Below are 24,631 nucleotides of genomic sequence, written 5' to 3' on the forward strand. Positions count from 1 at the left end.
GAAAAACAAATAAGCATACAAGCACAAAACCAGCCCCTTGGACTTCCTGCTAATCCTATTTGGTTATTTAAGTGTGGCAGGTACCTTCTCTCCTCAGGGCCTTTGCATATGTTTCTACTCCTTCCTCCTGGGCTTCTCTTCGCAGTTCTCATTCTCAGTCCCATTTACTGTTGGGCGAGTTCCTAATCACCTTTCATACCTGCATGTAAATGTTACCTCTTCAGGGAAGCCTTCCCTGATTATCCTCCACTCCAGTCTCTAAGTTCCCCGTCCTGTACTCCAACAGCCACCTGTCTGCCTTTTGTATCACTTAATCAGAATTTTAATTAAATGATTATGAGTATAATGATTTAAGATTTATCTCTCTCAATAAATGTTTTATTCACTATTGAATCCCCAAATGCCTGTAACAGTGGCTGACTCTGAATTTGTTAAATAAATGAACTAGCAAGTAAAACCTCCGAAATCTCAACATCTGCCCTGGGGGAAAAGCTTATGCTTTGCAAGGTGAGCCCTTCATAAATTTCCTAGCTTCCTTAATATTGTGGTCCTACTAAGTGTTCAGGAGAAAGCAAACAAAACAAAATTATTACATAACTGGGTAGTTTGAGAAGGAAGAGCAGAAAGTAAAATTATTAAGCATCTACTACATTTCAGGGCTTGTGTTTCTCATTGTATCCTCAAATACCCTGCAATATAGAAGAAATTATTTGCATGTGACAAATGAGGAAACAGAAAAAGGACAGAGCATTAGGACTTGTCAGTCCCTTACTCTGGACTTCAGTGTCCTCTTCTGTAAAATGGGGTTGGGGATGAGTGAGCGAGGCAACCCTTAAGGTCTGTGCCAACTCATTCACTTTCCTTTGGAGGTTTCGTCCCCTATTGTTTATTAGTGTGTTTGTGTGTGTGGGTGTGTGTGTCTGTGTGTGCATGCGCATGCAAGTGCACAAAATCATCTTGGACAGGAACTACGTCATTAGCATGAGTGCTGGGGCCCCAAACCCTCAAAGGAGGCACCTTGGATAATTACATTATGGAGTTTGAGCAAGGGTGTGTGTGTCCTGTGCACCCAGGGAAGGCTGGAATGTCTTGCTCAGCTTTTACTGCATTCCATAGAAAGGATTATAAAGGGATTAGATGCAAATGCACTGAAGATTTGGCTGATTTGGGCTTGTATTCCCGCACCGATGGTTGGGATATTTATTCAACCCGATATTGCAAGATGCTTTTCCTAGGTGAGAGCAGGCACTGCGATAAATGATAATGCAATCAGCAGCAGCAGGCAAGATGAGAAGATAATTGTTTGCCCCACCTTCTCTTTGCTGGTTCTTTAGATTTCATCAATGTTTCCCCCCTAAAGCCTTAGAATCACTGCCCCTAAAACTCTAAGGAGAAAATGAAATTTTATTCTAATGCACTGGGCAGTTGAGCCCCTGACATTTGCTAGAATTGCTTTAATCTCACCCAAAACATCCAACTGGAAAGAAATAGGAAAAAAAAAATGTTATGAGCTGGGTTTAGCAGGCAGGGACCCACCTTCAAGGATGGGTCTGAGGTCTTTTCTCATTCCTGGGGTCATTCTTTTACTGGGCATTAGCATTTTTCCAGGAGGATCTATCAAATATTTCAGTTCTTTGACTTTTGCAGGTGCAAACAGACTGTTCGATGAGATTGGAAAACTAGAAGCTATTATGCAAGTTGGAGAAATACCAGAAGAACCTTTTAAATGGAAAACAGGGACCAAGAGAGATTGTATAGAGGAGAACGTGAGAGGAAGAAACACAGGAGTGGTTGTGGATCTGTGAGGGGATGAGGGAAACTGTCTTAGGAGATCCAGTGATAAATCCATAGCTCTCTGTTCTAAGCACATTAAGTGTGTGAAGTCATTAACCCTCACAGTTACACTATGAGTTTGCTACTATTTTTATGTCTATTTTAAACATGAGGAAACTGGGGTCCAGAGAGGTTGTGGATGCTGTCCTGAAACCTACATGAGAGCCAGTTCTCCATACTGATTTCTTGTCTCCTTCTCTGATAACAGCAGTAATCATTACAACCATGACAGCATTAATCACAGTGGCTGCAATTCATTGTTTATCATTAGCCAGGCTCTGTGCTGAGCCCTTATGTCGGGCGATCCTAGCAGATGCCTCACAAGGGTGTAAATATTTTTATTCCAAATTGTACAGGTGAGGAAACAGGTGAGAGGAGGTTAATTACGTTGGCAGAGATGGCATAACAGAGCCAGCGCTTTACCCAGGACTGCCCCAGCCCGAAGTCCGTTGGTCATTGCATGGTGCCTGTGTATTGTGGCAGGGCCAGCACTTTTCGGGCAACAGGTTACCCAGCCCAGGGCTGATCATTTTGTTTTTTTCATCTAGGGACACTGGACTGGAAAGTAGTCAGCTCTTCTCTTCTTGCTTCTCATGGCTGGGTCTCTTGAGTTATCCTTGGCAGCTGTGTAGTAGGCACACAGACCAACGAGCACAGAGGAATAGAGGCAAGGAAGGGGAGGACTTAGGGTTATGAGGTTTTCACTTTTATTTATAAACTCAAAAAGGGCTGGAGTTACACGATATTTATTTGCATACAGCTTCGTGATGTACAATGTGTGTTCACATGCTCCATGTTTTTTGATCCCCACGTAAGGCTGTGAGATAGACTTGATTTATTAGTCTTGGTTTTTAGGCTGAGGAACAAGTCCAGGAGGTTCAAGGGACTCATCAGGATCACACAGCCAGAAAATAGCAAAGTCTGTTCCTGACTCCAAGTCAGTAGGTTTTGTCAGTCTGTGTTGTTGTTGGAGAGAACAGTCGGGAGACACATGGACTAACACAAAAGGAATGGATGGGAGAGCAGGCAAAGGTTTGGACCTGCCTTGTCATCCCACAGGACAGGTAGCCCCAGTGGCACCATGGCTCTGGCAGGCAGACAAACCCCAGGATGCTTAAACTGGGATCCAGGGAGGCTTATGTGAAATGTCCAAAATAGACCAGTTTATGGAGACAGAGAGTAGATTAGTGGTTGCCTAATGTTGGAGAGGGGTGGAAAGGGGAAAGGGAGTGACTGCTAATGAATACAGAGTTTTCTGGGGTCAGGGGTGATTAACTCTTCTAAGACTGATCATGGTGATGGTTGCACAATTCTGTAAATATGCGAAAAACCATCAAAATTGTAGCAGGGAGGGCTAGTGCATGAGGACCTCCAGGCTGGGAAGCAGGAGCTATTTCCTGTGGGCTTTCTGGTCCGTAAAGCCTCTGGAAGCAGACGCTGTTTACTTCTCACTGAGCAGTAATTGCTGTTTCTCTGCCAGTCTCCGTCGCCCTTCTTTCTGTTCTGGCCTGGCAGGTGGTGCTGGAGGGAGAAGCCAGAATGAGAGAACCTCTTGTTGCCCGGGCCTGGGTTCCCGGTGGTGACTCCCTTCAGCCCGCACCACTGCTGGAACCCTGCCAAGCTCTGCAGCCTCCCCCCAGCCTCAAGCCCTGTGATCCAGCATGGCCACCAGCCTTTCCCTCCTGACCCAGGACACATCAAGCCCAGCCTGAAAACCAAACGCCTGTCCAAAGACTGCTTGCCAAATAAGAATGGACATAGCCAGTAACAACACATTCTGGGGGCTGTGGCCAGAATTCTGCACATTGCCCTCTGGGTCCCTGCCTAATGCCTTTTGTACCCCAGCCCAGTCTTTGACATTGCTTTGCATGGACAGGTTCCAAAGGAAACAGATAAACTCTCTGTTTCCCTTCCCATCAGGAAACCACTTCATTCCCTGGAGAGCTCTCTACCTAGGAGGCTCTGTTGGGACTCTGAGGGGTGGAAAGAGGGGAGGGTCTGATCAACTCTGAGAGCTGGGGGCTGTAGGAAGGGTGGCAGTTTGTCTTGAGGGACAACAGCCTTGCATGGGCTGTAAAGTGAAACTCATAGCTGGCAGTTTGCTTTCTTGGGAAGATTCTGGGTACAGAGGCTAGGGCTTAATTAGAGACAGAGACTAAAACTGGCCTCCATGAGAGGAGACTGAGCAAGGTGGGCAGTAATGGTAAATGCCTCCGAGGTGCCAACTACCAATGGCCCATGTGTCTGGGGAGAACCAGAGAGGGAGGCTAGATGACGGGGAGGGAGGCAGGGAAAAAATTAAAAAGGAAGGGTCCCATCCCCTGCTGGTAGGCTAAAACCACAAGGTAACTGTTCTGCATTCACATTTTATTTTAGGATCTTAGAGTGAAAGCTCAATTAACTAGAATGGGGCAAAATGACTAATTGGAATTGCTGAATAACTCGGGACCAGGTGGAAGCCACTTTCCTGTTTCACCCTTTGCCAGGAGAAAAGAAAATGTTTGAAAATAACTTGGTCTCCTTCTCCTTGTCAGTGCTGGAGAGGGTTTCCCAGCAGTGTGTTTTCATACTGACATGCCACACAGCCCTTCACAGGCATGCCACCAGACTATGCAGATCAGCACGATATTGCATTTTGCAATAACTGAATATTTGTGCTGTGACACTGGCTTGGATGATGCTGCAAAGAGAGGGATACAACCTGTAAAGAAGTAAAATAGTGAATCCCTTTGATTTTCTTGAGATATGTGAGAACTTTGCTTTGGAAATATGTAGGGGAGCCCAAGAAGGACGATACGTAACTCTACCTGCACAGAGACCCAGGCTGGGGCAGGGGCGGTGTGGAGGGCTGACTAGAAGCTTGTGATTTCTGCAGTTGCATTTCTAGACCATGTGTGACAAGTGTGATGACCGGGCATTTTTATAGAAAGGGTGAGACTTGCTTCTGCTGCAGCAATGGTGATGTTATTCTTGCTGACTTGTTTGGTGGTGTTTCACGTTTCTTTATCTCTTCCAGTGTGTCATCCACAGTTTTTGCATTCAAAGGGGTGTTATTCTCAACCAGAAAAAGTTGAGACCCACAGGTGTTGAAAAGCAAGTAGAATGTCGAATGACCCCAATCTTTGCAGTGGTTATTTGCATGGAAAACTGTAGAGTAGGGCTACTTTGGGAAGCCCTGCTGGTTACACAGTCAGATCCCAGGGTGATGGCACCCTGATGTGGCTGCCACACTCCTTTCATTGTGCATCAGCAGCAGGGCATCTCTGTGGAGGGGACAGAGTGGTGTCCTGGGCCAGGGTGTGGCCTAAGGGGATCTAGTGGTGTAGACAGTCATGGGCCCTGTCCCCATGAAGCACAGGCATGCTTGGCACACTATGTAAATCTCTCCCTTTTGATGCTCCCATTATTTTCGTTTCTTTTGTGGGCCAACTATTATGGGTTGACTTGGATCCTCCAAAAACCTATGTTGAAGTCCTAACCCCTAATTCCTCAGAATGTGACCTTATTTGGAAATAAAGTCATCACAGATGTAATTAGTTAAAATGAGGTTATTGGAGTGGCGTGAGCCCTTAATCCAATATGACTGGTTTGAGAATAGGAGAGAGACACACATGGGATGGGCAACTCTGTGCAATGAAGAGGCAGAGATGGGAGTGATGCAGCTGTACACAAAGGATGCCAAGGCTTGATGGCCACTACCAGAAGCTAGGAAGATGCAAGGAAGAATTCTACCCTGAGCTCCAGAGGGAGCATGGCGCTGCTCACACCTTGATTCTGGACTTCTAGCCTCCAGAAATGTGAGACAATAAATGTCTGTTCCTTTAAGCCACCCAGTTTGTGGCAGCCCCAGGAGACTAATATGCCAGTCTCTACCCTGCCCCACCATTTCAGCCTAATCTGTATATTTTCTTTTACAATGCTAAGATTTGCACCAAAGTTGGCACCTAGGTCTGCAGGCTGGGGGCTATTCTGCCTCATCATGATGCTTTTGTGCAGCTCTTCTCTAGGGTGTTTTGTGTTTGTCTTGGAGGGTGCCTCTAGCAGGAAAATCTTAATGTACTCATTTTCAAGCTTGGAGGGAGACTGTTGTCCTCAGTACTAGAACAACAATTCTGTTCACCCAGGGTTTATGTAACATTCTCTCACCAGATCCTCTCAACACACATTCTGCAGCTCTTTAACATTGCGGTTTTTCTGACCTTATTTTTACCGACATTTTAGGTGAAAATATTTATCAACTCCTCAACCCAATTCTCCCCTTTAGGCCACAGGATTCTCCACACAGCCTGGAAGCTGCGGAAATGACCAGAGTACACTTTCTCCGCATCTCAGAGAGACCAACTCACTAACTGTTTTTATCCCTGACATTTTATTTGAAGGTGTGTTTGACATTTAACCTTAGGGGATGGTCCCTAAATCCATTATGCATTTACTGCCTCGGTGGGGCTCACAAAGGAGAGAATTCTGGGTGGAAGGCCAGGCTCTGGGAGAAACTTCCAACGCCAGGCCAGTCTCCAACACTGATTTACTTCATGTTCTCTGGAAGTCTCCTGCCCGCAGCAGCTGCTCCTTCAAAGAGGGAAAAGCTTTGGACTCATGAGTTGAACCAGAAGAGATGGCTGCAGCCCAGGCAGGCCCAGGCTGTGCTCTGGGCTGAAGCAGGGGCATGAGGAGGAGTTTTTGGGGCCTCTGAGCTGTTTAATTCTAATCATCCACCCTTCGTTTCAAAATGGTGCAAGGTGACTGGGAGTTTGGAAATCTAGGTTCTCCTTCCCAGCTGAATGTCTGACTTTGGAAAGTAGGAAAACAGTGATAGTTAAGAGCATGACCTTTGGGGTTTGGGTACCGGCTCTGAATATGACTAGCCATGTGATTTTGGGCAAATTATATAACTTGTATAAGCATCAGTCTCCTCATCTGTAGAATGGATGGAGTGGTAGAGGGAGATATTCTTAACCTCATATAGCCAGTGTGGAGAATACAAATTTTCATATTTATAAAGCACATAGCACAATGTCTGGTACACAGGAGTAAATGAAAGCAGGCATTATTTTTCTGGGCAACTCACTGTGTATCTCTGGACCTCTCTTTTTCCATCTATAAAATGGGGGTTCACAGCACTTACAGCTCAAATATTATATTCCATGCCTGAGAGGGAACTTGCAGCCTCTCTGTCCTCTACATCAACCATGTATTTTCTCTACTTCTGTCTTTTACTTTTCCATCATTTTATTTTTAATTGTATTTTTTCCAAATCATGAACACAATTTTTTAAGTGTAAAAAGAAATTTAAAATTCTACAATTTCAGAACCAGAGAGCATTTTCCAATATAACTTTCCAGTTTCTACATATCCTTTTTTCACTTTGTAATTTCATGTGAACATCTTCCCAGATGCTAATTGCTCTTCAGCAGCATCTTAAATAGTTTGACAACCCAGAGTACAAAAGCCTTGAAAATTAAGAGATAAAATATATATTATGGATACTAGAATAGTTTCCAGTTTTCCCTTGATACAAATAACTCTGTAAGGCAGTTACTGCGATTCAGGAAGTGATGCTGGAGGCTTGGACCAGGTGGAAGCAGGGTGGGGTGGGAAGTGCTAGGACTGTGGTTGCTTTGAAGGTAGAGCTGGGAGGATTTGTTGGTTGATGGGATGAGGCATGTGAGTGACAGAAAGGAATCAAGGTTGATTCCAAGTGTTTCAGCCTGAGCAACTAGAAGAATGGGCTTGCCATTGACTGAGATGGGAAAGGCTGCATGTGCAGCAGGTTTGGGAGAGAATAGCAGGAATTTGGTTTTAAAGTGTTACTGTGGAGATTTCTTTATATGTGCAAGTGGAGAAGTCAAATAGGCAGCTGGAGTTATGAGCATGTAATTCAGGAAGATGTCCTGGCTGGAGATATAAATTAGGATGTCATCAATGTGTAGAGATGGACTTAAAGACTTGAGATCAAATGAGATCTCTAAGGGACTCCAAGAGCTGCAGAACTCAGAACAGCTTCTACCACATGATGGGGATCTTTTGTCTTTTTGCTGCAAGTAAAAGGTGACATAGGCCCCTCTTTCTCCTAAGCCAATGGTGTAGTATTGAAGTTTGAGCCCCACAATACCGAATGAACTGCCACCTTTCCTAACAACTCCCACCCCCAAAGTCCAGAACTGCCACCCTTACTAACAACACCGTGGGCGGGAAATCACAGAAGGCTTTCTCAGCTGAGGATAAAAGAGGCTTAAGTTGTGAACACTTTTAAGGCTGATTTATTTACAACCTATAGGATTGTGCTAATTTATGCACCTTGGTTAATTCTTCACCACAACTCATCTCTTTGTTACAAGCAAAATGAGCCATGTCTACTTTCCCTGTTTTGTTTTCCTTTGGCTGATGTTGTGGGACAGGAGCATGAGGGTTCGGGGGAGATGATAGAATGCACTTGCAATTTTGGCTAGCTCTATTTTGGTCCCTCTGACTGTTCAACAATCTCTGCAGACAGAGAGTAGGAGAAATGAGGACGGCAATAAAGCCAAGGGACTTCCTGCTGGGCTGGTGTTTCCACCTGGATGAGGACCTGAGTTTCCAGAGGCTGGGCAACAGACCAAGGTCACCATATACAACATACCCAAGTATTCATGTCAGCAGTGGGGTTTTATGAAATTTCAGTGAACAAACAAGAAAGACACAATGGTAGATGAAGTTATTAACAGAATTAAAAAGATGAAATTTCACCTGGGCATGGTGGCTCACACCTATTATCCCAGCACTTTGGGAGGCTGAGGTGGGAGGAGCAACTGAACCCAGGAGTTCATGACCAGACCAGGCAACATAGCAAGACCCTCTCTCTCCAAAAAAAAAAAATAATAATACGATGAAATGGGTTTTGCAGAAGAGAAAGGATGTGGATTGGTGAGAAAGTAGTAGAAGGAATCACTGCTAACTCCCTTCTCCTGGCCTGCGCAGTCCACTTTCTTGGTTTCTCATGCCTGTTACATGATCCCTTTAGAGCCAAAGTTTGCAAAAACTCACAGCCACCCTAGTGAAAGCCTGGAGGTTCTGCATGTGAGCGTGCCCTGGCATGGTGTTCCTCCTTTGGGGCATTTATCTCCCTGGTTTAAGTCTTTCTGCTTCTGATTCTGAACTCTCACACATCCTTGAGTGGAATCACCAAACCTCTAGAGTTTTGATTTCTTCCACTTTTAAATGAGAATAATGACACCTCCTTGCAGAACTTTTGGGCGGATTAAGTAAAACTGCCCCCAAATTGCCCATCTGTACCTGGCACTTAATTCAGTATCATGCACCCCAAACTGACACCAGTCATGCCTGTCAGGAAGTGGCCAAGTTATTTTCAGCCCTGCAAAGAGGAGGTGGTTGAGCATCAAAGGTTCAGAAGTCATTCCAGAATTTCAGGATAAGCCCCCAGAAGCAGACTAGGCTCTTGGCCAGGCTTATCCAGATATTGCACCATGCACCAGTGGTACACCAAACAGCCAGAGGAGGCTCCTAAAGGAGTGGTTCTCAGTCAGGGTTCTGTGGTTCCCACCCTGGTGTCCCCTAAGACCCTTTGCAGGTAAGAAAGCCCACTAGGATCAATGGGTAAAAATAATCTTGTTATAGCTGAGGATTTCTACTGATAGAGACATGGCTGCAAAACCAAGCATGGACTGAGCCCTAGCATTGGGGAACAACTTTGCATTAAGATGGAGGTGTAGAATGGCGTCCAGCCTGTGCCATAGAAAGATACTATGTTTGCTGGGAACAACAAAACTGTGCTTTGTAAAAATACAAGAGGGCATAGCTGGGACAGCAAACAATTCCTCTCAAACAGCAGCACAGAGCTAAAGAGGGACAGAGAAGTAGGGTGAATAGAGTGGGCTATTGACTTCTTCCTTCTGGGCTTCAATTTCTTCATTTGGGCTTGGAAAGATTAATGGATGTTCAACTTTCCTGGATAACAGACTCCTAGGGGAATTTCATCAAAGCTTCATTCATTCAGTCATTCAGCCATCCATTCATTCAACACATTTTGTTATGCATCTGTGATGTTCCAGACCCATGCTAAATGTTGAGATTCACAGGAAGTAAAGGGGAAACAGCCTACCCTTGCCTTGGCTCAATTGACTTCAATTCTGTTATTTAACATTCAGCCCAGGAAGCTCTCCTGACCCACCCCTTCTCTGTGGTTAGATCAGGTACCTCTATCCCATGCTGAGTGCAGCTGCACACCTGCCATCTCTCTGTGCCCAGACTGGACATTACTCCACCTCCAACCAGATGTAGAGTTGTTCTCCCCGCTGCACTGCCGTCCGTGGTCTGCTTTACAGCTTGGCTGTGTCAGTAGACATCCTCAGTTAGAACAAAGTACCCTGCCTTTTGTTGGGCTTTTCCTTCACAGCTGTAATTAAATAATCATGTAATTAGTTCATTCGCTTGATCATTCAGCAAACATTTATTAGTTGTTTAACATTCCTCTCATCTGATAAATGAAAGCAGAGATCACATCTGACTTATTCATTCCTGTGTTCCTGGCATGACGTGTAAGAGCTTACAGAGTATAACGGTAATAATTGCCCTGGACGGGGTGTTTGCGCCCCTACTCAAAATTCCTATGCTGAAATCTTAACCCTCAGTGTGATGGGATTAGGAGGCGGGGCCTTTGAGAGGTAATTAGATCATAAGGGTGGAACCCTCATGAATGGGATCCACATCCTTATAAAAGGGACCCCATAGAGCTCCCTCACCTTTTCTGCTGTGTAAGGAAACGAAACAATGAGATGAGAGTCTGCCACCCAGAAGAGGGCCCTCACCAGAACCTGGCCATGCTGGCACCCTGATCTGAGACTTCCAGCTTCTAGAACTGTGAAAAATAAATATCTGTTGTTTATAAGCCACCCAGTCTATGGTATTTTGTTATAGCAGCCTGAAGTAAGCAATATTAACAACAATAATAATAATAACAAGAACAACCACTCAACTTCATTAATTCATAATTCGTTCCCAAAATCTTTGTGGAACACCTGCCTTCTACCACCAAATACCAACTGGGCCTCTCAGGGCAGGCTTCCCAGGTGCCTGGATAAAATGATGAACAAGGCAGGTGCACAGTTCTGCCTTCATGCAGCATGGGCTCTCGTAAGGTGCTTATTGTGTGCTAGGGGCTGTCCTAACTCTTTATGCCTTATTTAATCTTCACGTTTCCTTTTAACATGTGTGCTTTCATTATCACCATTTTATGGGTGGAGCAACTGAGGCACAAAGCAGTAAGTCCCTTGCTCAAGGCCACAGAGCTCGGAGACGGTAGAGCCAGGGTTTGAACCCTGATGATGTAGCTCTAGCTCCCTCTGCCACCTAACAGAGAGTGCGTGCTCTGTAACTAGTTGCTGAATGAAAGAAGGAATGACAGAATCCCCCTTTTCCAGGTTTGACATTCAGGAAGGCTGCCCCTGCCTTGGTTTGAGATTCAGCCCAGCATGTCAATGCACCATGTTACCCCTCCCATCTCATTTAAGCAGACCCTCCAGGCTGGGGCTGGCTGGCTGGAGCACTGACCTGGAGGAGAATGTCCTTTAGCAAAGAGCTCCATGGAGAAAGTGAGGCAAACTGCGTGATCACCAGAGGAGTGATGATTCCACAAACACCAACTGGGCCTCTCAGGGAGATCCTGGGCCTTCTCTGGGAATGCTGAGGCTGGAATCTGTGAAGCGCGTTTGAGAATTCAGCTGCAGCATGAACCTGCTAATTAGGGGTTGTGTTTATTTTGTGCTACATAAAGCAGATTAGATTAACTAAGCAAGACGGAAGCATTTGGAGGGATAACTCTTTCTCTCTGGCCCAGGCTTTCTTTAACTTTACTCTTAGGGCCTGAGGGCACTGAGGTCCTTTCTTTGCTGGACCAAAGGAGACAGAGTGTTTCCTGGCAGGGTGCCCAGAGCTCCACTCTCCTCCACGCTCAGGCAGCCACTGACCACAGGGACCCCTGGAAGGATATGGCTGCCTCTAATCCTTTTATTGCGATGCACTCATAAACAAACACTCATGGGCATTTTACTAGACAACAGCCCAGGAGCTGACACCAGCTCATTTTCAGGCACGCACGGCCAGCTACAGATGAATTTTAAAATGCTGCTGAAAACTAGAAAAGTATTAAATGACTTGCCAGGGCAGAAGGGAAGAAGCCATGGGATGCCCTGCCAACCCTGAGGCAAAATCCGCCCCGTGGCCTGTGGGGCCCACCTGATTGTCTCTGCCTCCCTGTCCCATACCTCAGTGTACCTGACTGTCTTTGCCTCCCAATCCTGTACCTCACTGTGTGTTTCAGCCACGCTGCCTGCTTTCCATTCAGTGACAGCTCCTTCCTGCCCCAAGCTCTATGCAAATGCTGTTCCCCCTTTCCCTCCTTCCTCCTTTCCCATCCTCTAGGGCCCCCTCCCCTATTTTACCCTATCTTTGGAGACCCTAAGCTAAGGCCTCTCATAGAGGACATGAGCTCCCCAGGAATATCAAAGACAGCTCAGATTTCAGGAAGGGGGAACAGGAAGATGCACTTTGCCAAGCGAGGGCCCAGTGGTGTGTCTCCAGGTACCTCTGGGTACCAGGTGCTCTGCTGGTCTCAGTCCCAAGCTGGCACTCACAGGAGGCAGGGGCGTGGGCCTTGGGAGAGCAGAGGCCACTGCTGGCTGCCATTACCATTTCATTACTCATCTGCTAATTGTGGCAAATGGGGATTTTACAGCTCCCCTGGCCCTCGCTGTGGGCTGAGGCAGCGGTTTGATGGAAAGGGAATGGAAGAACAGCCTTGGAATCTTTTAAGAAGGCCCATGCGCCTGCCTATCTGGTTTATTTGGACCCTGCAAGCCTGCATTTGGGTCCAACAGCCATTTGGCCATGAGGCGGGGCGTGGTGATGGGCCTTGGAACCCAAACACTCCAAGCTGAACCCTGCGTCTCCCCATCTGGAGAGAACTCTTCCACTTGGGTCATTCATAGTGGGTGGCCAGTGGTTGCCACTGGGTTTAGAAGAGTGATTGAGTCACGTGCTACTGCTGGGCAGACCCTCTGAGAGGAGGGTGAGGGGGCTGTGAGGAGACACCAGGCTTCCTCTTGGAGACCATGGACCCAGAGGCCAGTCCCCAAGTCCTAGGTAGCTGTGATCCACAGCAGCAGAGAGCCAAGCTTTGAGGAGCACAGGCTTTAGAATCCACGGCCAAATCGGAGCTGGCTCTCTAAGTGATGGGACATTTAGTTTCTGAGTTTTGGGTAAGATGAAATTAGATAATGTACATAAGTGCTCAGCAATAAAGGATCCAGTTATCGGGGAGGCAGAAGAAAATTCTCACGCCCTGTGCAGCTCACAGTTTCATTCTTGACCTATCTTATGCGTTAGTGGGGATATTTGAGGAGCTCCTTACCCTATCTGCCACTCTGTAATAATAACCAATAATTATATCTGATATCAGTGAGCACTTATTGAAGTCCAAGGGCTTCAGTCTTTTGTGTCTGGTCTTCACAACCACCCTGCACATAGGCCTTCTGAGATCCATTTTCCAGATGAGGAAGCAGGAATCAGAGGGAATAAGTAACGTGCCAACGGTCGCTCCAGCAGAAATGCAAACCCAGGACTGTCCCTCTGCATGGCTCTGGACCCTTCCTTTCTCTTTGGCCACTATCATTCAATCACTTTTGTGAAGAACTGTAGCCAACTACTCTCTCTCCCACCCTCTGCTCTGAGAGGCAGAATTTGGCAGGGGCTAAAACTGGGGTTTTAGAGTTTAGGCAGATGGGTTTGGATCCAGCTCAGTGGCCTACTAGCTGCATGGCTTGGACAGTCATTTGCCCTTTTGGGGCCACATTTTTGTTTGTAAAGTGAGGATAAGGCCTGCTACATAGAGAGGTCACAAGACAGTAAATGAGCTCAAGGACTTGTTGGTGCCCGACATACGCCAGATCCCACTTGCCTTCCTCAAGGATGGCTGTGCCGCTTGGAAGCCACCACACAGCCTCCCTCTTCTGCAGAACAGCAAGAAGGTGGGAGACAGGCTCAAAATGAAGCCACATTGCACCCCTCACAAGGCATTCGCCTCCCTCCATCGTCTCCAAGCCCACCACTGGAGGAGGAGCCCACTGCCTTATTCTTTTTGATAGAGAGAGGAGTGGTCCAGGGAGCATCTGCTTCTGTGTTTACAGGAGTGTGGCCTCCAGAGGTTTCTGATTTTCAGCGATAAACAGCTTAGAGGATGAGGCCCCACACCTTCAAGAGGCTCATAGTGTCAGCAGTAAGGGGCCAGCAACAGTGACCCCGCCTTCTTCCCTCCTCACCAGCCGGGGGTATCCAGAGTGCCCCTGGCCCCTGCTGGAACCCATGAGGCCCTCCTGAGCCTCCTCACCACTGGAGTGCCACTGGTGTGTGTCCAGCCTTCAGATGGTCACTGTCACCCCCACTGGCACCTTGTGGCCAGCATTTGAAGTGTTGGGCATGCCTTTCTTCACTGTGATACAATTTTTCTGCATAGGAGAAAAATCATGACACTTCTGAATAAGGGAGTTGCTGTGTTATTCTGTAGAAGAGAACATGCTCTGTCCAAGCTGTTATTTCACGTCTGTTCTTAAGAATTGTCACTTTAATTCCCCAATGTCAACAGAATCCTGATGGCATGGCTGCCTAGAGCTCAGCGTCCTCCATATACCAGCCCCAACCTACCTCCGGGGTCTTACTTGCAGTTATTATTATTGGGAATAATGATGGCTGTTGATTAAAATGATCATATCATCCACAGTTGAGGACTCACAAGGCATGAGGCCATCTCCTAAGCACTCGACTCATTATCTCACTGGGTTCTCATTGGAGAATTCATCCAGAGGAAGCAGGTGTTAGGTCCCATTTTGCAGTGAGAAGTCTGCAGCCAGGAGAGGGTACCTCACTTGTCCCTGGGCTCCTAGACTTCAAAGCTGAAGCTTGTGCTGCTCTGTTGACCATCACTCCACACCCAAGGCCCCCATCTCCTCCACACGAACTCCCTTCTCCAGTGAAAACCGCCTCCTGCCCGGTCCTCCTGTGTGCCTTTCACATGCCTTCCCCATGCTTGTCAGGCTGTTCCCTTGACCAGGAAAGCCTTGGGGAGCAGCAAGGTGAAATGGATGGGGCACAGGCTCTGGAGTCAGGAACAGTGCATCCCTCCTGTTCCACTTCCCAGCTCCCAAACTATTTAAGCTTTCTGGGCCTCAGTTTCCCTACCTGGAAAATGGGAAGATGTCATGTCATCATTGATTTGGTGAGGCAACATACACAAAACATCTGGGTGGTGGCACTGGCTCACCTGTTGAAGTTCTGCCTGAAGCTGGAGGCCCAGTTCTGCTTCCTCTAGAGCGAGGCCTTCTCTGACTAACTCAGTCTGGTGACATTTCTTCTTCTTCCGAGCCACTCTTCTTCTTTCTCCTCTAGGAAGTCCATGTGCCATGAGGGCAAGGGCCCCCACATTGACTTAATGCCATCGTTTGCACATTGCAAGAGCTTGATCAAGGTTTGCAAAGCAATTGCTCTTCAGGACTCGTCACCATCTGCACCCCACCTTCTTCTCCAGCATCCTCACTCTCTATACCCCAGTGTCTTCACTCTTCACCTCCCATCGCCCACTCTGAGCCTCCTGTATCTGACTCCCTGTGTCCCCAGACACTGAAGTTCTCTCTTACCTCCTGGCCTCTCTGTTTATAATGCCTTCCTTCACTTCTTTCCCTGGGTAGCTTCTGGTCTTCCTTTAAGATTTAGCCCAGGTGTTTTCTCCTCCTTCAGGAAGTCTTCCAGATACTCCAGGCTGGTTAGATACTCCTCCTCTCTGTTCCCACAGCCTCTGACTTCTCTCTTAGCACTTGTCAACCTGTATTTGTCCTGTTTGTTCACCTCTCTATCTCCCCTGGTAGGATATGATCCCCTGAGGGTAGGGACCCTGTTGTTGTCATCTCTGGAGCCCTGGCATTTGACATGGTGGCCACGACCAAGCCAGTATTTGTTGAGTAGATGGATGACTGGAGGAATGAGCACCTAGCTGAAAAATTCTGCACATCTGCCACTTGGAGTATCTGCTGGTTGGGTTATGCAACGTCTGTGTGTGTGATGTCACTTGGCCACCTTTACCTTTGCATCCAAGAGACTGTGCTAGCTTGTCAGGGAATGGGACACAGTACTACAGAGCTGTGTGTAAATCTGCATGTGCGTTTCGTGCCTCCAGTTCAAACCTTGTTCATTAGCACAGCAATTAACAGCAGAGCCTAATGACAGATGGCCCGGCTCTGCACCTGAACCCCTGGCTCCTTGGCAGGCTTGGAGCAGGGCAGGCACGTCTGGCATGGTTGATGTTTTCATTGATCTAGTGAGTTCAGCTCCCAGGGCTGCCGGCTATGGAGACAGTGAGCTGACGTCAGTACTGGCTTTGGTGGGGGGCTGGGCCTAAAAGGGCCAGGCTTGTAACAGACTCTTGGAAAGCTTGCAGAAGTTTGGGGACTTTATTGTTTTTATCTTTTTTTAAGATATTAATTTCACATTGGGAAGTCCCAGCACCCCACTCTCAAATTTTCCTAAGCTCTAAGGACTTCCCTAGGAGATGGTGTCTCTTTCCTGCTAATTCTTTACAAGCTTCTAGGCTTTCTACAATTGTTATTTAGGATTGTGATATCCAGGCCCTTTGACTTCAGCTAACAGACACAGCTTCGTGTTTAGAGTGGCATATAAGATCAGTGTTGTGTAAACACAATTATATTTAGCAAGTTTGGAGATGTGGGGTTTTTTTCTTCCTGTTAATCCCGGGTTTGAAATGGCTTCCTAGTTATTACCCTGTGAATGTCATTCATTTCTCCATAAAAGAAATATCAAATTTGTGTTCAAATAGTTGTCTGGGTCATAAATTCAAGCTAAAGTGCAGTGTGTCCTAAGCCATAGCAGATTTCACAGAACTGGAGTTCATTAGAGCTAGAAAGGATCTTACTGTCCAACCTGTGTCATTGACAGATGGGGAAACTGGGCCCCAGAGAGGTGCACTGATTTGCCCAAGGACACATGGCAAGTAGGTGGCAGAGCTGAAGCCACGTGTTGGTCTCCAGTGGCCCCTTTCCTACACCATGTTTCAGATCATCAGAAATGCTCAGGCTTTGCTGTGTGCCAATCCCAAACCACTCTAGAATGAATTTCTTAAGTGGTGTTGGATATGCTTCCTTGAGCCTGCCACCAAACTTGGTCTGAGTGAAATAGAAGAGGGGGTGCAGGCAGAGGAAGTGAGGACTGCGGTCTGTCGTTAGTGATGTGGAAACCACGCATCTTCTTTACGAAGGTGTTGACAAGTCTGTGTGCCCAGGGAGCCACGCAGGGGAAGAAGGTTAGAAGGCTGGGTAGTCCCTGAGGTAGGAAGCAACTTCAGCGAGAACCTGCCCATCTTTGCAAAGTGGGCACTTCTCTCAGTGAGGGGGTTGCAGGCAAAACTGCGGGGATAGTCTTGTTCCCACAGAAGAAGTGGTTGGAGAAATACCTATCACATCGTGGAACAGTGCCCTCATTCTGCATTTTCTTATCTAGGAGACAAAAAATGCCTCCTGGAGATAACCTACCTGCCCTCCCTTCCTTTGAGGAAGTTTAACCTTTCTCCCTCATTGATATGGAATCCCAGGTATTTATCTGATGACCTGCTGAGATTGGTAGTTCAGAAAAACCAGTCTTCAGGCTTAGGGGAAGCTGGACGTGTATCCTAGGGTGGAGGCCCAGGTCTCGGGGACAGGTCCCACCTCTCCTGATAATGTTCCCCGCCTCCCTGTCAGGAGGTGCAAAGGTTTGGGTGGGCATTGTGAAATGTTGCCCCAGAAGAAGGTTTCCTTCTCTTTCAGCATCATGCTGAGAGGTCCACACATGGCCCTACTGCCACAGTGTCACGAAGGCAGACCTGTCCTTTCTGCCTTGTCTTTTTAAAAAAATCACCCCAGGGCCATTACAGCTCCTCCTGGTTCCTGATTCACTGTGTTTTAATCAAGCATAACTCTTAGAATGAGCAGAACATGACTTCATTTTTGTCTCTCAGTGTTTTCTTCTCCCCTGCAGTGAAAACTCAAAGAGGCCCCACAATGTTTTCGTCCTCTGTTAGGTAATATCTTGCATAACTTGAAGTCACAAAACACAGCCTCAGTTCTGTAATTGGAATTCCCAGTCCTGTGTGCTAATTCCAACTCTGCATTTGAATTGGAGATCAATCTTCTCCCCTTCTCTTTCTAAAGTCAGCTTCAGAGTCAGCCTTGTCTCGGGGGAATGAATATGATTGGCCTCTTATCTCTTTCTCTGTTCTTTTTTCACCCATTGTTTACTCACTGCACACTCCAGGATTGGATGAAGAAGAAGGGGAAAAGAGGGAAAGACAGTTCTTACTTGCCTGGTGTGCTTGTGCTTATTGGCAGACATTTAAAACCCACTCTGCAGTAGAGGTCTTTCCCACTTTCTCAGAGTCCCCAGGATGGCTGGGGAAGCTCTCCTACAGTCCCCTGACCTGGCTGATTGCACTTGATCATGAGGCCACCACTGGCTTGGCAACCCCTTAGGAAATCTGAAGTTCATTCCAGCTTTCTGCTGAGGTCCATTACTTCCCTGGGCCAACTTTCTGTTACACAAAGTCCATATCTGGAAAATACCATTTTTGTACCCACAGACCTTGGGAGTAAGGTAGTGGTAATTCTTCTTCATCCCAGCTTTCCTTCTCAGGCCAACATTCCTGAGGACATCCTAGGTCCCTGGGGTTCATGGCTCCTTGGCTGCTGCTGGGGAGGGAGAGTTGGTTTATTTCTCCATGCTATGGCATCTTTCTCCAACCCTCCCACCCCCACCATCTCTATTGTTTATCTCTCTTGATATGGTTTGGCTGTGTCCCCATCCAAATCTCGTCTTGAATTGTAGCTCTCATAATTCCCACGTGTTGTGGGAGGGACCTTGTGGGAGATAACTGAATCATGAGGGCAGTTTCCCCCATACTGTTCTCATGGTAATGAATAAGTCTCACGAGATCTGATGGTTTTATAAAGGGTTTCCCCTTTTGCGTGACTCTCATTCTCTGTAGTCTGCTGCCATGTAAGATGTACCTTTTGCCTTCTGTCACGATTATGAGGCCTCCCCAGCCATGTGGAAATGTGAGTCCATTAAACCCCTTTTTCTTTATAAATTACCCAGTCTCAGGTGTGTCTTTGTCAGCAGCATGAAAATTGACTAATTCATTGCTCTTTCTCTCTCTCCATCTTTCATTATCTCCCAGCCGATAGCCACACTCCCTTGCCTTTAACTTTCCCAAGTCTGTATCAGGCACCAGTCCAATGAGCTTCAACTTTCCAGTGGACAGACATCAGGCTCTCCAGCCCATTGAAACTGCTTTTCCTAGCCTGGACATGGTAGCACCAGCCCCACCCCCACCCCGTCCACTCAGCAACTCTCTCCGCATCCAGCACTCTCTTGAATTTATCAGATGCCAATCATGAACTTCTGCAGCTTGATCTCTCACAGTATTTTGCAAAGTATATGATGTCTTTTTGTCTGTCTTAGGGTCCACACACTTGGAATGCACTCTGACTTAGGCTCTTGATTTGCATCTGGGGTGGTCCCTTCTGACTGGTCAAGCCCACCTCCCACCAGCACTCCTACAGAGGGGAATTCTACAGACCTCCCTGCCACTTCCCTGTGGGGTTGAGGGTGCAGCCAAGTCACAAGGAGATAGCTCCCTGCCCTGACACACACACACACACACACACACACACACACACAATCCTGGGAATCAGGCTGCAATTGTTTCTCTTAACAAATGGTAGGGACATGGCAGTGGGGAAGTTTTCCCAGAGCTTTGTGAAATCAAGCCACGTTCCCTGCTGTGTGGTACATGGCAGGCATGAAGGATTAATAATTTTTGTATCGAGGAAACATAGCACACTCCCAGTGCTTCTTCTCCCACCCCAGTTTCATGTTTTTAATCTGGGAGGGGACCATGGAGGGACAAAGGGAAAAGAAAAATGGTAGCAGAAAAGGAGGTGGTTTGAGGAAGATCTTTTGCATAAATCTGCTGTAAATCAGCCATCATGGACCCTGGGCAGTTCTTTTCATGACCTTCTGGTCTTTGCCTTCCCTCATCCCCAGTAATTTTTAGTGAGAAGGAGCATTTTGCAGTTTAGGGACACTGCTGAGAGAACAGTGCGCCATGTCTCTTATTTTTCATCCTTTACTGAAACTGCAGGTGAGTCCATTTCTCATACACACTGTCTGACTTCCAAAGACCTGAAACCCCATCACCTCACTGCCAAAACAGGGATGGACTCCGGCAGGTGGGCAGAGGCGGCTGGAAGGCATTTGCCAGCTCCCTTCCAAAATGAAGCTAGCTTTCCTTTAGCCTTCAGGCTGCCAAGTAAAAAGTCTATAAAACAGTGGTTCCCATTTTTTAAGAATGGGAAGGCCGGGCACGGTGGCTTATGCCTGTAATCCCAGCGCTTTGGGAGGCTGAGATGGGCAGATCACGAGGTCAAGAGATCGAAACCATCCTGGCCAATATGGTGAAACCCTGTCTCTACTAAAAATACAGAAATTAGCCTGGTGTGATGATGCACACTTGTAGTCCCAGCTACTCGGGAGGCTGAGGAAGGAGAATCACTTGAACTCGGGAGGTGGAGTTTGCAGTTAGCTGAGATCATGCCACTGCACTCCAGCCCGGTGACAGAGTGAGACTCCATCTCAAAAAAAAAAAAAAAAAAAAAGAGTGAGTAGAAACTTATTTTGCCAAGAAAAAACATTAAAGAAAAAGAAACCTAAAAAGTGAACATCCAGCACCATTATTTTATAGAAGAAAGGGCGTTTTGGCACGTGCGTGCACACACACACACACACTCCAGGTCGGAAAGAACTTAATCTCAGAATAAACACTAAAAAAATTAGATTTTTGTATAAAAACTCCCAATATTGTCTTTATTTTTCTCATGTTATTGGTGCCCCATGAAAACTTCACTGTAGTCTGTTCCTTGGATTAGCTCTTGGAAAGCAGGAGCTGAAGTTACTGAGTTAGTCATAAAGTTAAGAAGCATTTAGATCCACAAACAGCTACATCTCATTGCATTGATTAACATTTAACACATACGCATGGTTGTCTAGTTCTTGCTGGGCAGTAGATTTAGTGCTGGGGGTACAGCTGCTCCCTGAGAGAGTGTGTACTTGTGTGAAAGGACATGGAAGTGACACCTCCTCTGGGAGGCCCCCCAATACCATCCCAATTACAGTGTCAGTTGAGACCCGCCCCACCCCATCCCCAGTAATTCTCTAACATGTCGCCTTTTTCTTTTTCTTTGGAGCCCTTACCCGAATGGAAGTTACCTTGTTTATGTCTTTATGTCCTTTGGGGCCTGTCTCCCCACCTGGGATATAAGTCCCAGGGGTACGGGAACTTTTCTGCCCTAGGGACCACTGGAGCACCAGCACAGAGGTCCAGGGTTCCCCTTGGTGGCTGATGTGGGGTGGAAGTTGCTGAGGGAATAGGACAGGGCACCCCCTTGTCCTGAGCCCCTCACACAGTAACCTCTTCAAATCACTCAGTGACCGGTGAAGAGACCAGCGGGCCTCCTGCCCTACATAGGTGTTCTAACTTCTGAATTAGTTGGGTTCCAGTCAGAAAGATAATTTAGAGTGGAACACAAAGCGTCATTTTTCTTTACAGAAGGAAAACAAAACATCTTTTTTACTACCATTGACCTCCTCCTCTAGGGGTGTGGGAGGTTGCTGGAAGGTCATGGGATATTTCGAATGGAAAAATCAGCATTTGTCTGTCTCCCTTCCCCCAGTGGAAACCATCGGCCCAACAAAGCACACTGGTGGCAGCTGGAGGGTCAGAAGTCCCCTGAGCAAGTCACCATTGTCACCACTGGAAGTGGTGAGGAAGATCACTTGCAGGCAGGACCATAGCCTGGCATTAGCATTCTGGTGACCCCAGCAAAGAGGCGGTGTGGGGACTGCCTCTGTGTGGGGTGGGGTGTGATTGTTTCTTAGGAGGTAGCTGTAGTTACAGGACAGCCTTTGCAAGCTCCTACCACTGTGTGTATCCACAGGCAGGCAGGGTGGCATGAAGCTCAAAGCAGCACCCTGGGCATCACGAGGCAGGGACTGAGCTCTGTCAGGTTAGATGGTAATAATGCAAGGTAGCATTTGCTTAGAATTGGCTATGCCCTATGTGCTTTACACGCATATCATGCACACCAGAAGGGCTCACAGCAATTGTATGAAATAGATGTGGTCATTATTTCCTCTTCATGCCTGAGAACACTGAAGCTCAGAGGGGTTAAATGGCATGCCCAGGGTCACCCTGCTGATGGATGGTATCACGTGGACTTGAATCCAAGTCTTCCCACCCCCAAAGCATGGACACCGCTGTGCTTCTGTCTGAGTTCACCTGCCACGGAAATGTGCTGTGGTTTTGTGACAAGCTCCAGAGCTCCGTGGCTAAATGTAGAGGTTGGAACAACAGTAATAAAGTAATAAACGATAAAAAACCAAGCACCTGCTATGTGTCATGGACTGTGCAGGCACTGTATGCACATTAACTCAAAACAGCCCTGAAAGGTCGGCCTAATTCTTCCAATTATACAGATTAGAAACAGGCTGAGAGTTTAAATGAATCTGCCAAGTCCCACAGCCACGAAGTAGTATATTCAGAATTTGAACTCAGGTTAGTTTGACTTCAAAGTCATTGCTCCCTTGAAAGCATTATCCTGTGAAAACTGATTCACTCAACAAATATTTATATATACTTCATTTACCAACTAGTATTTATTTATTAAATATCGGTATGTATTTCAACAAATATTTATAATATTCATCCAACAAAGATTACTACTATTTCTATGTATTTATGTATTTATTGCCTGGCATAGAGTAGGTATTGAAGAAATATATAGACTATGCTAGAGAGTAGGGATTAGGCACTAAACATGACAGATAAAATCTTTGCCTTCATGGGGCTCACATTCTGGTAGGGGAAACAGAAGATAGACATGGAAAGAAAGAAATATATGTAATAGCACCTAATTATAAGTTACTTTAAAAATGAACCAGAGTAAGGAGGCAGGGAGTGATTTGGGCAGGGAGCTAAGGCTGTTTTAATCACAGGCTCACTCTGGCTGCTGCTCTGAGCCAAGACCGTAGGTAGTCAAAGAAGCAGGGGGCCAGTTAGGAGGCAATGGAGATAATCTAGGTAAGAAACAAGAAGTTCTTGTCTCCAGATAATGGTAGCAGATTGGTAGGAAATGATTGGACTCAGAATTTATTTTTAAGTGAGCCAGCAAAATTTGTTGACAGATTGGATGCAGATTACAAGAGAAAGAAAGGAGTCTATGGTAACTCCAAGATTTTGGCCTGAACAACTGGAGGGATGGGATTGCCAGTTGCTGAGACAGGGGAGAATGAAAGGTTGGGAATTCAAATGGACTCATTTGTGTTTGAGATGTCTATTACTAGTCCAAGGGACATGTTGAAAAGCCATTGTGATTTTTGAGTTTGGAATTCAAGGGTGTGTTCTAGGGGTAAATATGTCCAATATTTAATCAAACCAAAGAGGCCACTGACTATAAGACCATTATTTTATTTACTACCAAGAAAAAGCACTGTCCATTAAGCTAGGATACACTGCAACTTCAGAGATATTAAAATGTGGAAAAAATGTGTGGTTTAGAGTCAATGGGATTTAGTAAGTTTGGGAGTTTCCAGTATATGGATGGTATTAACAGCTGTGAGAGTTGAGGAAATCACCAAGGGAGTGATAGAGGATAAAGAGAAAGAAAAAAAATTAGGTTGGTGCAAAAGTAATTGTGGTGTTTGCCATTAAAAGCAATGGAAACTAATAGAAGTATAAAGGACTGAGCACTAGCATGGCAAATTTTTGAGCAGGGAGATTCATGGCCCATTTCGAGCCCAGTGGAAAGTTGGGCAGTGAAAGATCTTTTCTGGAATAGGAGCCACTGTGGAGCTGCTCTGCAGGGCTTTGGTCTGGGGACTCAGGACTCACAGATGGCCAGAATTGTAACACAGGGCATCACCCAGCACTAGCTGTGTGGCATTGCCCAGAAAGGCCAAGCTTTTCAGCTCGCCTGGTTCACTGCTGGACTGTTTTCTCATCAGTAATATGCAAGTATAATGTCTACTCTATCATCTCAAAACCCAGAAAAAAAGTCCATCTGTTTCTTTCTCTGGGCCTCAACATCTGCCCCTATAAAATGAAGAGTCTGGACAGGGTGATTTCTAATTCCTCTTCCAGCTCAGGCATAACAATACTACTAGCTGCAGTACTTTGAACATCTACTAGGTGATTTATATTAATATAATCACTAATCATCATAAACGGCCATGTATTATGATTCCCATTTCACTAATGAGGCAACTGAGGCCAAAAAGGGAGCAGGCTACTCACGGTGGTGGAGCCAGGCTGCAGACTAGAGTATTTCAGGCCATTGGCTTAAAGCCCCCTGCCTCCCTGCTGGGATTGATGCATAATTCTTGAGCTAAACTTAGTAGCATGTGGCTGGAGCCCAAGGGCAACCCCTTCTTATGACACGAGGCAACTTCAAAGGGTTGTCCCACATACAAGGGGAAGATAGTTTGTCTCTGGGGACCCTCTACTTTCATGGGAATGGAGTGTTCCTGCAAAAAGGTCAACAGAAAGGAAGGCAACTGATGTTGGAGTGTAGAGGTAACTCATCCCCAATCCTGTGGACTCTCGGTTTAGTGCTCTTTGACCATATTATTTGCTAGTCAAGGACCAGTGTCCACA

At 46.5% G+C, this 24,631-nt stretch overlaps 1 protein-coding gene and 1 long non-coding RNA gene across 12 annotated transcripts in view; one reads left to right on the forward strand and one right to left on the reverse strand.

The window, feature by feature from the left end:
* Positions 1-24,631, forward strand: part of NAV2 (neuron navigator 2) — a 776,366-nt gene that overhangs the window by 163,135 nt on the left and 588,600 nt on the right. The window lies entirely within an intron of this gene.
* Positions 2,523-15,708, reverse strand: NAV2-AS4 (NAV2 antisense RNA 4). Its single transcript, NR_033989.1, has 4 exons — positions 15,516-15,708; positions 11,380-11,524; positions 10,027-10,225; positions 2,523-3,354 (listed from the first exon to the last, which is right to left on the reverse strand). It is a non-coding gene; the product is annotated as an NAV2 antisense RNA 4 (long non-coding RNA).

Source organism: Homo sapiens, chromosome 11, assembly GCF_000001405.40.
Source record: "Homo sapiens chromosome 11, GRCh38.p14 Primary Assembly".
NCBI lineage: Eukaryota > Metazoa > Chordata > Mammalia > Primates > Hominidae > Homo > Homo sapiens.